General features: G+C 42.7%; 1 long non-coding RNA gene and 1 pseudogene across 1 annotated transcript in view; both read right to left on the reverse strand.

Moving 5' to 3' along the window:
* The window catches only part of LOC101927708 (uncharacterized), a 64,008-nt gene that overhangs the window by 33,495 nt on the left and 17,825 nt on the right, over positions 1-12,688 (reverse strand). The window lies entirely within an intron of this gene.
* On the reverse strand, positions 8,221-9,069 carry RPS3AP39 (RPS3A pseudogene 39; annotated as a pseudogene).

Here is a 12,688-nt window from a genome sequence, read left to right on the forward strand (position 1 = left end):
GATGGGGAAAAAAAAAAAAAAACCTCTGCAATGAAAACCACAAAACACTGATAAAATAAATTGAGAAGACACAAACAAATGGAAAAGCATCTCATGCTCATGGGTTGGAATTAGTAATACTGTTAAAATGACCATACTACCCGAAGCAATCTAGAGATTCAATATAATCCCTATCAATTATATTCTTCACAGAAACAGGAAAAAAAACAAAACCCTGAAATTCATATGGAACCACAGAAGACCCCAAATAGCCAAAGCAAAACTGAGCAAAAAGAACAAAGCTAGAAGCCTCACACTACCTGATTTAAAAGTATACTGCAAAGCAGCTGGGCGTGGTGGCTCACACCTGTAATCCCAGCACTTGGGGAGGCCAACGCGGGTGGATCATGAGGTCAGGAGATCGAGACCATCCTGGCTAACACGGTGAAACCCCGTCTCTACTAAAAAAAAAAAAAAAAACAAAAAAAATTAGCTGAGGCTGAGGCAGGAGAATGGCGTGAACCCGGGAGGCAGAGCTTGCAATGAGCCGAGATTGTATCACTGCACTCCAGCCTGAGTGACAAGGCAAGACTCTGTCTCAAACAAACAAACAAACAAACAAAATATATATATACACATACTGCAAAGCTATAGTAACCAAAACAGCATATATTTGTATTAAAACAGACACAAAAACAAAGGAAACAGACTAAAGAACCCAGAAATGAATCCACATATTTACAGCTGATTTTCAAGAAAGGTGTCAAGAACATACCTTGAATAAAAGACACCCTCTTCATTAAATGGTGCCAGGAAAACTAGATATCCAGATATCCAAACACAGAAGAATAAAACTAGACCCTTATCTCTCATCACTTACAAAAATAAACTCGAAATCGATTAAAGACTTAAATGTAACAGCCACAACTATAAAACTACTAGAAGTAAACACAGGAGAAATGCTTGAGAACAAAGATTGTATGGCTAACACTTAAAAAGTACAAGCAACAAAAACAGCCAAATGGGATTATATTAAATTAAATACCTTCTGCATGTCACAGAAAACAATCAACAGAGTGAAAAGACAACACCCCTCCCTTACACCATACAGAAAAATTAACTCAAGATGGCCTACAGACTTAAATGTAAAACCCATAACTATAAAAACCCTGGAAGACAACCTAGACAATGACCTCCGGTACATAGCGATGGGCTAAGAGTTCATGGTGAAGATGCCAAACGCAATTGCCACAAAAGCAAAAATTGACAAATGGGATCTAATTAAATGAAAGAGCTTCTGCACAGCAAAAGAAACTATCAAAAAATAAACAGACATTTCTCAAAAGAGGATATACAAATCATCAAGTTTATGAAAAAATATTCAACATCACTAATCATCACGGAAATGCAAATCAAAACCACAATGAGATATCATCACACTTGTTAGAATGGCTATTATTAAAAAGACAAAGCACAACAAATGCTGGCAAGAATGTGAAGAGAAGAAAATTATCGTATATTGTTGGTGGGAATGTAAATTAGTACAGCCATTATGAAAAAAAGTACAGAGATTTCTCAAAAAACTAAGAACAGATCTACCATATGATCCAGCAATCCCACTCCTGGGTATATATCCAAAAAAAAGGATATCAGTGTATCAACGGGATATCTGTACCCCCATATTTACTGCAGCACTATTTACAATAGCCAAGATACGGAATCAATCTAAGTGTCAATCAATGGATGAATGGATAAAGAAAATGGGAATATACGCACAAGAGAATAGTACTCAGCCATAAAGAAGAATGAAATCCTGTCATTTTCAGCTAACTGGATGGAACTAAAGGTCATAATGTCAGGTGAACTAGGCCATGCACAGAAAGAAAACTATTGCATGTTCTCACTTATATGAGCAGTTTATGCTCCTGGAAATCAAAGCGGGGCCATGTTTCAGGTCAGTAGAGTCAGGGATAGAGACCGCAGTTATGGACTTGTGTGCCCTGGAGCTATAGAAAATTGATATCATGGAGATAAAGAGTAGAATGATAGTTACCAGAGGCTGGGAATAGGAGGGGTTTGAAAAGAAGTTGATTAATGGGTATAAAAATATATAATAGAAGGAATAAGATCTAGTGTTCATTATCACAGAAAGTGACTACAACAATTTGTTGTATATATATATATATTTAATTTCAATAGTTTTTAGGGAACAGGTGGTATTTTGTTACATGGATAAGTTCCTTAGTGGTGATCTCTGACATTTTGGCGTACCCATCATCAAAGCAGTTTACCCAATGTATAGTCTTTTATCTCTCACCCCCTCCCACCTTCCCCCTGAGCCCCCAAAGTCCACTGTTTCATTCTTGTGCCTTTGCATCATCATAGCTTAGCTCCCACTTACGAGTGAGAACATGCAATGTTTGGTTTTCCATTCCTGAGTTACTTCATTTAGAATAATGGTCTCCAACTCCATCCAGGTTGCTATGAATGCCATTATTTTATTCCTTTTTAACACTAAGTAGTATTCTATGGTATATATATATATATATATATATATATATATACATACACCATATATATATATATGGTAGAAATGTGTTTTTTATATAAAAAAACATTTTTTTAAGAAACATGCAGGAATACACTGTACCTCTTCCTTGCTGTCTCTGGATATTGTCACATGAGGACTTGACATGCAGATTGTGGCAGCCTCTGTGACCAAGAGCAGAAGACAATAGCAGCATAGAAACCTCAAATGAAAAACCTAGCATCTCAAGCTACTAATTTAGCCAACCTTGGCATCAGCTATCTCTGGTCCTAGTACATGAGGTGATAAGCCCCCACTGTTCAAGTTGGGTGGCCATCAATTGCTGCAGAATAGAAGTTAATGAGGCTTCCTCCTCCTGGATCCCCTACTAGACCCTGACATACCCATTCAGTCACAGGCAGAAAGGGAAGCACAGGGTAAGGAGACCTGGCTGACTGTGCCAGACGCAGATCTTACCTGTCCTGCTTAAAACACTCAATTGGTTAAACAAAAAAAGGAAAAAGACAGTAAGGAGTATAACACTCCCCAGAAGCAACTTAGTCTAACACTCTATACTTTAAATTTTCTAAACATACATAGAAATCAGACCACTACTTCTGCAGAACATTTTACTGGTAAAAAGAACAGCCCACATGAGGGAAAACGGATTTGGTGGAAAGACAACAAAAACAAAACATGGGAAATAGGGAAGGTGATAACATGGGGGAGAGGTTTTGCTTGTGTTTCAGCAGGAGAAAATCAGCTTCCTGTTTGGATACCCACTAGACATTTGAAGTTCTACAATGAACCCATCAGAGATGCAAATGAAAGTGCCTCCGCAGAGACAGAAAACCTGCAATCGAGCATCATCGACTCGCAGGGTGAACAGAATGGTGATATCAGAAGAACAGATGAAGTTACCATCCACCAAGAAAACGGCACACGTGGAGAGCCAGGGAGAGAAAGAGAAAGAAAAAGAGACAGAGATCAGAGAGAGACACAGAAAGTGAGACTGGGGAGAGAGATAGTGTAAGAGAGAGAGAGAGAGACCGTAAGAGAAGGGAGACAAAGAGATAAAAGGTGCGAGTGAGCAGGTGAGGAGAAAGACTGAAAACGATGAGAAACAGCAACTAAGACACAAAGGAAGTGGGAGACTGCCCGGGTGCCGCAGCACCCACACCGTCCTCTTGCCCCCGTCACTTGGGTTAAAACCACCGGAAACTCCACTATTGCAAATTTTGTATTAATCCTTGTATGTCTGTCCTTTCTATTGTTAGTCTACAGGTGTATCCAGCAGCTCCAGAGAGACAGCCACCAGCGAGAAGAGGCCATGATGATGGTGGTGGTTTTGTGAAAACGAAAAGGGGGATATGTAGGGAAAAGAAAGAGAGAGCAGACTGTTACTGTGTCTACATAGAAAGGGAAGACATAAGAGACTCCATTTTGAAAAAGACCTGTACTTTCAACAATTGCTTTGCTGAGATGTTGTTAATCTGTAGCTTTGCCCCAGCCACCTTGCCCCAACCACTTTGACCCAACCTGGAGCTCACAAAAACATGTGTGTATGAAATCAAGGTTTAAGGGATGTAGGGCTGTGCAGGACGTGCCTTGTTAACAAAATATTTGCAAGCAGTATACTTGGTAAAAGTCATCACCATTCTCTAGTCTCAATAAACCAGGGGCACAATGCACCGTGGAAAGCCGCAGGGAGCCCTGCCCTTGAAAGCGGCGTATTGTCCAAGGTTTCTCCCCATGTGATTGTCTGAAATATGGCCTCGTGGGATGAGAAAGACCTGATGGTCCCCCAGCCTGACACCCATAAACGGTCTGTGCTGAGGTGGATTAGTGAAAGAGGAAAGCCGCTTGCAGTTGAGATGGAGGAAGGCCACTGTCTCCTGCCTGCCACTGGGAACTGAATGTCTCGGTATAAAACCCGATTGTATATTTGTTCAATTCTGAGATGGGAGAAAAACTGCCCTATGGTGGGAGGTGAGACATGTTTGCAGCAATGCTGCCTTGTTATTCTTTACTCCACTGAGATGTTTGGGTGGAGAGAAACATAAATCTGGCTTACGTGCACATCCAGTCACAGTACCTTCCCTTGAACTTCATTATGACATAGATTCTATTGCTCACATGTTCGTTGCTGACCTTCTTATTATCACCCTGCCCTCCCACTACATTCCTTTTTGCTGAAATAATGAAGATAATAATCAATAAAAACTGAGGGAACTCAGAGACCGGTGCCAGTGCAGGTCCTTGGTATGCTGAGCGCCGGTCCCCTGGGCCCACTGTTGTTTCTCTATACTTTGTCTCTGTGTCTTATTTCTTTTCTGTCTCTCATCCCACCTGACTAGAAATACCCACAGGTGTGGAGGGGCAGGCCACCCCTTCATTATGAGATTACAGGCATGAATAACCCCGCCTGGCCACCTAACTCACTCTTGAGAGGCCAGAAGTGATGCTGGAACTTTCTTCCTCTGTGGGTTAAAAAGGGAAAATTAGGGAGAACACAAGGCATGAGAGATGCAGCGATGGATATGTCTATATGGAGCTTCTGTCTGCATCCAGTAGAAAATGCATTTCTAGGCACCAGGTTTAAGAGCGAAAACCTGGAGTCTTGTCTCTTAGAATTCTCCTTCCCCACAAACCAGAGAGGGAATACATTTGCTCCAGCACACCCGGATGTAGGAAATGTCACATTCCTGTTTCTGTAACTTCAGTTAAATCTGCTCTGAGTCCCTGGATGCCTGGCAGGTGGAGAATTCAATCTTGTCGTTACCAGCATTCCTTTCCCTTCTCCATGGGCTTATGTAAGAATTCTGGGCTTACATGCTGTTGGAAAGCCAGGTAGCAACTACATCCCCCGAACTCTCCATTCTTCCAGCTGCTCATGATCCATCAGCCTTTTTTGGGCCACCTGCTACAACCAGACCCTCCTCACAGCGTCATTCCACTCACCCACAGGCTCAGCCCCAGGGACCCTCACTAGAACGAGTCTCCACTATGCATAGGGACTCACAAAGACCTTCTCTTCATCTTGGCTTCCTCTGATATCCAACCACTCCCCCACTTCTCACCTTAAACACAGATGGCGGCTCCTTCCCATCATTCCAAAACTTGGGGATTGTCCAGCCAAATTCTCTTCAGACACCAAAGCTTCACCCGCCCTCTTCAGGGAGGTGATGCAAGGGCATCTGAGATCTCTGGAAGCCCATTTCTGACCTCTCTTTGGGGTGGGCTGAGAGTGGGAACTAGATTCTCTTTTCCAAGTGCCATGTTTATCTTGTTCATCATTGTATTATCTCCAATGCCTGGCACGTAGTAGGCACTACAGACTGACACAGAGTAGGTGCTATTAGTGTCTGTATAATGGGATTCTTGAGGTTGAAGCTATTAGCAGAAACCTGCCAAGCAAAAGGATGGAAAACCAACCACCAAAAAATAAAATAAAATAAAAAAATAAGAAAACAATCGTGGCTTTGAGCTCTAAACACACAAGGCACCAGCCCAAGTTTGGGCAATTTTAATACAACAGCCATTTTGCCTCTAAACAAACTGGCACTGGAAACCTCCCTCTGCCTCTTAAAGAGAATCAGTTTCTCTTTCTCTAAGTGGGCAGCATTTCTCCCCGGTGGCAGTACCCAGCCCACTGCCACCAGCAAAGGACTGCATCCAGGAGCCAAGAGCTTGATAGTTTAAAGAATAGATTTTATAGGGAAAAACAAAGTAACATCCACATAAATCTGGAACTACCACCACTTTCCAGAGGCCGAATCCCATTTGTGGAGTCTCTTGCCTCTCAAGCACCTTGCAGTCAGCTCAACTACATACTTTTGGGATTCGTTGCAGAGAAGAGTGAAGGTTATCTGCAAAATAAAGGAACCAGGGCTCAGAATTCCCAGAGCAATCCATGACAGAGGAGGTGAGTAGAAAAGGGAAGGGTGATGTCAAAGGAGAGAAGTCAATGAGTTGGCCAACACTAAGCAAGGATCATGGGACCCTCTCCATGGCCCCACATCTCAAAGGAACTCAACAAAACCCATCAATGCTTGGTGTAAGTGTTGTATGCTCCCGGAAACGAAAGCAGGGGCCACATTTCAGGGCAGTAGGGTCGGGGGTAGAGGCAGCGGTCATGGACTTGTGGGCCCTGGAGGATGGGATGATTCTGAGACATTGAATCCCTACACTGATCTCAGTAGAAATCTCAGGTAGGGCTTCAACATTCGTGGACCAAGGACTCTGAGGGCCTGAGAGCAACAGCCTTGGTGCATGTCCCAGCTCCATCTATCCCAACTGGGGCTTCGAACAAGTTACTTATTTTTTTAACGTTTTTTTAATTGACAAATCATAATTGTACACATTCATGTGATGTTTTGATATGTGTATACAATGTGGGATGATTAGATCAAACTAATTAACATGTCCATCCCCTAATTTACTGACAATTTTTATGATGAGACATTTGAAATGTACCCTCTTAGTTATTTTGAAAGATACATTATTATTGACTATAGTCACGCTGCTGTGCTATAGATTTCAAAGCATATAATCCAGCCACCCAACTTCTGGATATAGACCAAAAAAAATCGAAATCAATATGTCGAAGGGATCCCTACGTTCCTATGTTCACTGTAGCACTATTCACAATACCCATGATACAGAATCTACCTAAGTGTCCATCAGTGGATGAAAGGATAAAGAAAATGTACTACATACACACAACGGAATACTATTAACCCTTAAAAAAGAAAGAAATCCTGTCATTTTCAACAACATAGATGAACTTGAAAGACATTGTGTTAAGTGAAATAAGCCAGGCACAGAAAGACAAATACTGCATGATTTTACTTATACGTGGAATCTAAAGAAGTTGAACTCACAGAAATAGAGAGTAGGACAGTGGTTATCAGGGGCTGGGGTGGAGGAAAGGTAGGGGATAGGAGACACTGGTCAAAGGGTACAAAGTTTCCAATAGGAAGAATCAGTTTTGAACAAGCTAAACTCCTCTGAAGGCTCAGTTCCTCATCTGTAGAGCGGGGACACATCATTAACCTTCTAAGGATGTTGCTGTGAGAGTAAAAGATGATGTTCAGCACAATACCTAACGCACAGTCAGGTCTCCTTAAGCTTGAACCTGCGTCGCCATGACCTCTACATCACAGGACAGAAAGGCTCACAGCCAGTGTCTCAGTTCCCAATGAAAAGTGGATCCCAGACCAGGCTGAACAGCAAGATCCCTAGGGGATACCCCACCCTACTGAGTCAGAATCACCAGAGGTAGAGCCTGGGTATGTATGTATGTGCGCGTGTGTGTATGTATGTATGCATGCATGTATGTATGTATGTATGTATAAGAGACAGGGTCTTGCTCTGCAGTCCAGGCTGGAGTGCAGTGTCACAATCATAGTTCACTGCAGCCTCAAATTACTCCTGGCCTCAAGCTATCCTCCCACCTCAGCCTTCAGAGTAGCTGAGACTACAGGCGCATGCCACCAAGCCTGGATACTTTTTTTTTCCTCTTTCTTTTTGGAGAGAGTCTCACTCTGTTGCACAGGCTGGAGTGCAATAGTGCAATCTTGGCTCACTGCAACCTCTGTCTCCTGGGTTCAAGTGATTCTCGTGCCTCAGCCTCCTGAGTAGCTAGGATTACAGGCGTGCACCACCACACCAGGCTAATTTTGCTTTTTTCATTGTTGTTTCTTGTTTGTTTTTCACAAATAGGACTTCTTATTTGCCAATGTTTTAAGTCTGAACTTTAAACAGATTCTTGGATTGGTGGTTCATATCCATCAGCTCATTCAACTTTAGCATGCGTCTCATCCCTAGTGGGTTTTCAAGAACTACTACCTTCACCACGAAGCTCCATGCTTTTCAAACCCAGGGTTCTCCAGCACTTTTACTTTTCTAATGAAGACATCATGGAGAGGATAAATTGGCAAGACTTTTCTACATCTTTTCCAATGTTGTCTGGAATCAATTTATTAACCACTTATTTCAAGTCATTTGTCTGCACCTCTCAGGTCATGATTTCCATCATCTTCTTCTGGATTTGGCAGACTGTTGGTGCTGAGCATAAGAGGTCTTCAGTATCAGATTGTTGTGTTTTTTAGTAAAACCAACACAAAACAGAAGAAAGAAGTAACCATCGGTAGTCTTGACATCAACATGAGCGTCAATCATTGTTGAACATTTTTCAACCTTGGAACATATTTTGTCACAGGTAAGACCCATGCCATAGAAGTTAGTCAGGCAGTGTTTGCCCTGAACATCTTCAGTAATCAGCTTGAATTTTCTAAATGCAACTTCATCATTCCGCAAATCAGCAAGACTCATTTCAAACACAAGACCCTTGAGACCATCAGACGCAATTTGGGTTCCTTGGGTCCTGGTGACCAAGTCTTTCCAATATTTCTTATATTGAACATAGCAGGTGCTTTCACATCATACTGATCTTTCTTAGAGAATGGATCAACTACTTTCTTCTTAACTCCCTTTTTGCCACCTTTCATAAGGCACTTGTTCTTAACAACAGCCATGGTGCTGCTTAGAGTACCAAAAGGCTAAATTTTATATTTTTGGTAGAGAAGGGGTTTCACCATGTTGGCCAAGCTGGTCTTGAACTGATGTCAGGTGATCTGCCCGCCTCAGCCTCCCAAAGTGCTGGGATTACAGGTGTGAGCCACTGCACCTAGCTGATATTTATTTTTTCTTTTTTTGTACAGACAGGGCCTTGCCATGTTGCCAAGGCTGGCCTGGAACTCCTGGCCTCAAGCAATCCTCCCACCACAGCCTCCCAAAGCACTGGGATTTCAGGTGTGAGCCACCATGCCCAGCCTGGATCCATTTTTAAAGCCAATCAAGTGTTGAAAAAAATTGCAACTTGGGCTGTTTTTTCTTTGCATTTTTTACATTTCAATGGTTTTTAATATATTCAGAGATATACGCAAACATTACCAGTCAATTTTAGAACATTTCATGACCTCAAAAAGAAACCTCATACCCTTTAGCTAACACCCCCTATCCTCCCATGCCCCTACCAGCCCTAAGCAACCACTAATCGACTTCCTATTTCTATGGATTTCCATCTGAATGAAATCATGTAGAATGTGATCTTTCATCTGTTTTGAAGGTTCATCCACGCTGTAGCGTATGTACTTTCCTCCCTTTTTGATCAAATAATATTCCACCATGTGGGTAGACAACGATCGGTATATCTCTTCATCTGGTGATGGGCATTTGGATTAATTCCCTCTGTGGGTTTTTAGGAGTGATGCTATTGTAATTATTCATGCACAAGTTTTTGTGTGGACCTGTGCTTTCATTTTTGAATATGAAAATATGGCACATCTCCAAGGAAGACATACAAGTGGCCAATAGGCACATGAAAAGATGCTCAATGAAATTCATCATCAGGGAAACAGAAATCAAAACCACAATGTGATACCACTTCATAGCCATAAGGATGGCTAGAATCGAAGATACAGAAAATTGGCCTGGTGTGGTGGCTAATGCCTGTAATCCCAGCACTTTGGGAGACTGAGGCAGGTGGATCACCTGAGGCCAGGAGTTTGAGACCAGCCTGGCCAACATGGTGAAACCCTGTCTCTACTAAAAAAATACAAAAATTAGCCAAGCATGGTGGCAGGTGACTATAATACCAGCTACTCGGGAGGCTGAGGCAGGAGAGTAACTTGAATCTGGGAGGCAGAGGTTGCAGTGAGCTGAGATTGTGCCACTGCACTCCTGCCTGGGCGACAGAGCAAGACTTTGTCTCAAAAAAAAAAAAAATACAGAAAATAACAAGTGTTGGTGAGGATGCAGAGAAACTAGAACTTTCATACACTGCTGGTAGGAATTAAAATGGTGCAGCCACTGTGAGAAACACTTTAACAACTTCCCAAACAATTCTACACAGAGTTACCAAATGACCCAGTAATTGTACTCCTAGGTATAGGCCCAACATGGGCTCTTTTAATCTACGGAAATTGAACTATGGGTACTTAGCAAGAACAAAGAGGGAGAGAGGCAGAAATGGTGCCATGAGGGCACATTGATTGGTCTCTAGTACACAGGGCTCCTACCACAAATGGTCTCTAAATGACTTCATCAGTTGCTCATAAAAAAAATCACCCTCTGCTCCAATCGTGGAGGAAGAAGTATGGATTGGACCTGGTGAGCCACGGTAAGACTGACTGTTAAACTTTATGAATGATGAGGGGATTTGCATGTATAATCTTGACTGTACTAGATTTTTTATTTTATCCACTGTCTTTGAAAACCTAACTCTTGACTAAGAACTGACTTTCCTGTACTTGTTTTTGACTCTAAGTAAATTTCCAATTCCAATAGTCCAAAGATGATGTGTTGAGAAATCTCTCAAAGGAAAAATGCTAAGAATACAGGCAGAGTTATGCGGCAAATTTTGCAGAATTAACACACATTGTACTTGTAGGTACGAAGCACAAAACATTTTCATGAGTAAAGAAAAAAGTGCTCTTCATTCTAGTAGAGGCTGCAGGATGAAGCCGATCAAGGTGCTTGCCCAGCCAGACCTTGGGCTCTTATCAAATTTGTGTTAGAGTCAACTCTGATGGAGTCTGTATCTCAGTCATCTTTTTTTTTGACATGGAATCTCGCTCTGTCTCCCAGGCTGGAATGCAGCGGTGTGATCTCAGCTCACTGCAACATCTGCCTCCTGGGTTCAAGCGATTCTCCTGCCTCAGCTTCCCAAGTAGCTGGGGCTACATGTGCGTGCCACCATGCCTGGCTAATTTTTGTATTTTTAGTAGAGACGTTTCATCATGTTGGCCAGCCTGTGCTCAAACTCCTGGCCTCAAGTGATCAGCCTGCCTTGGCCTCCCAAAGTGCTGGGATTACAGGCATGAGCCACCATGCTCAACCTCAGTCATCTTTTATCCTCCACGCCTGGCAAGTTCTAGACCCACTGCGGTTCCATACAAGTTTTTTGAATAAATAAGAGACAGATAGAAAGTGGGAACTCTGGAAGTAGAGAAGATTCCAGAAATTGTGCATATTTCCCAGAGACTGTGGCCAAATTCCTCAGTCCTGCCAGAGTTTCTCTATCTCAACTCAAACCTTACGTGTGGGCCCAGACACAGTGGCTCACACCTGTAATCCCAACACTTTAGGAGGCTGAGGTGGGCAGATCACTAGAGGCCAGGAGTTTGAGACCAGCCTGGCCAACATGGTGAAACCCTGTCTCTACTAAAAATGCAAAAATTAGCCAGGCATGGTGGTGTGCACCTGTACTCCCAGCTACTCGGGGGGCTGAGGCACAAGCATTGCTTGAACCCAGGAGGTGGAGGTTGCAGTAAGTCACGATTATGCCACTGTACTCTAGCCTGGGCAATAAAGCAAGACTGTCTCAAAAGAAAAAAATACCCTTATGTGTGGGCCTTGTTATAGAATTAATGTTTATGTGGACAGTATGTACATGGGTGTATGTTAAGAGCATGAGTCATCCACAAGATTTTAGCAAAGTCCATTTAGAAAGCTCAATGCTTTGGGCTTCCACTTGCCTTGCTGCCTGTGTCCTCAGAAGGAGGCTTCATCCTTCCATGTACCCAGCAAATCCTTTATGCAGAGATGTACACAACACACTCCTGTCCTTGGCTATGACACCTTGAAACGTTCCTCTTGGTGGCCCCTGGTGCTCATTTCAGAGTATTTCAAATTAAGGTGATCAGCTTTCATGCCAATCACTCTACAAATCACTCCTATTATGACCAATTTTTCTAAATGCTTTATTGAATTACTACTTAAAGAAATGTGCACATAGAAGAGGTCAACACAGTACTTTTCTTACAAACTGAACATACTGGCCAGGCGCAGTGGCTCATGCCTGCCATCCCAGCACTTTGGGAGGCCGAGGTGAGCAGATTGCTTGAGCCCAGGAGCTCGAGACCAGCCTGGGCAACATAGTGAGACCCCCTTCTCTACAAAAAATAAATAAATACAAAAATTAGGCAACAGTGATGGCACATGCCTGTAGTTCCAGCTACTCAGGAGGGCTGAGGTGGGAGGGCTGCTTGAGCCCAGGAGGCAGAGGCTGCAGTGAGCCATGACGGTGCCACTGTGCTCCAGCCTGAGTGACAGAGTAAGATCCTGCCAAAAAAAAAAAAAAAAGAAACTGAACATCTCCATATTACCAACACCCAA

This window comes from Homo sapiens, chromosome 11, assembly GCF_000001405.40.
Source record: "Homo sapiens chromosome 11, GRCh38.p14 Primary Assembly".
Taxonomy (NCBI): Eukaryota; Metazoa; Chordata; class Mammalia; order Primates; family Hominidae; genus Homo; species Homo sapiens.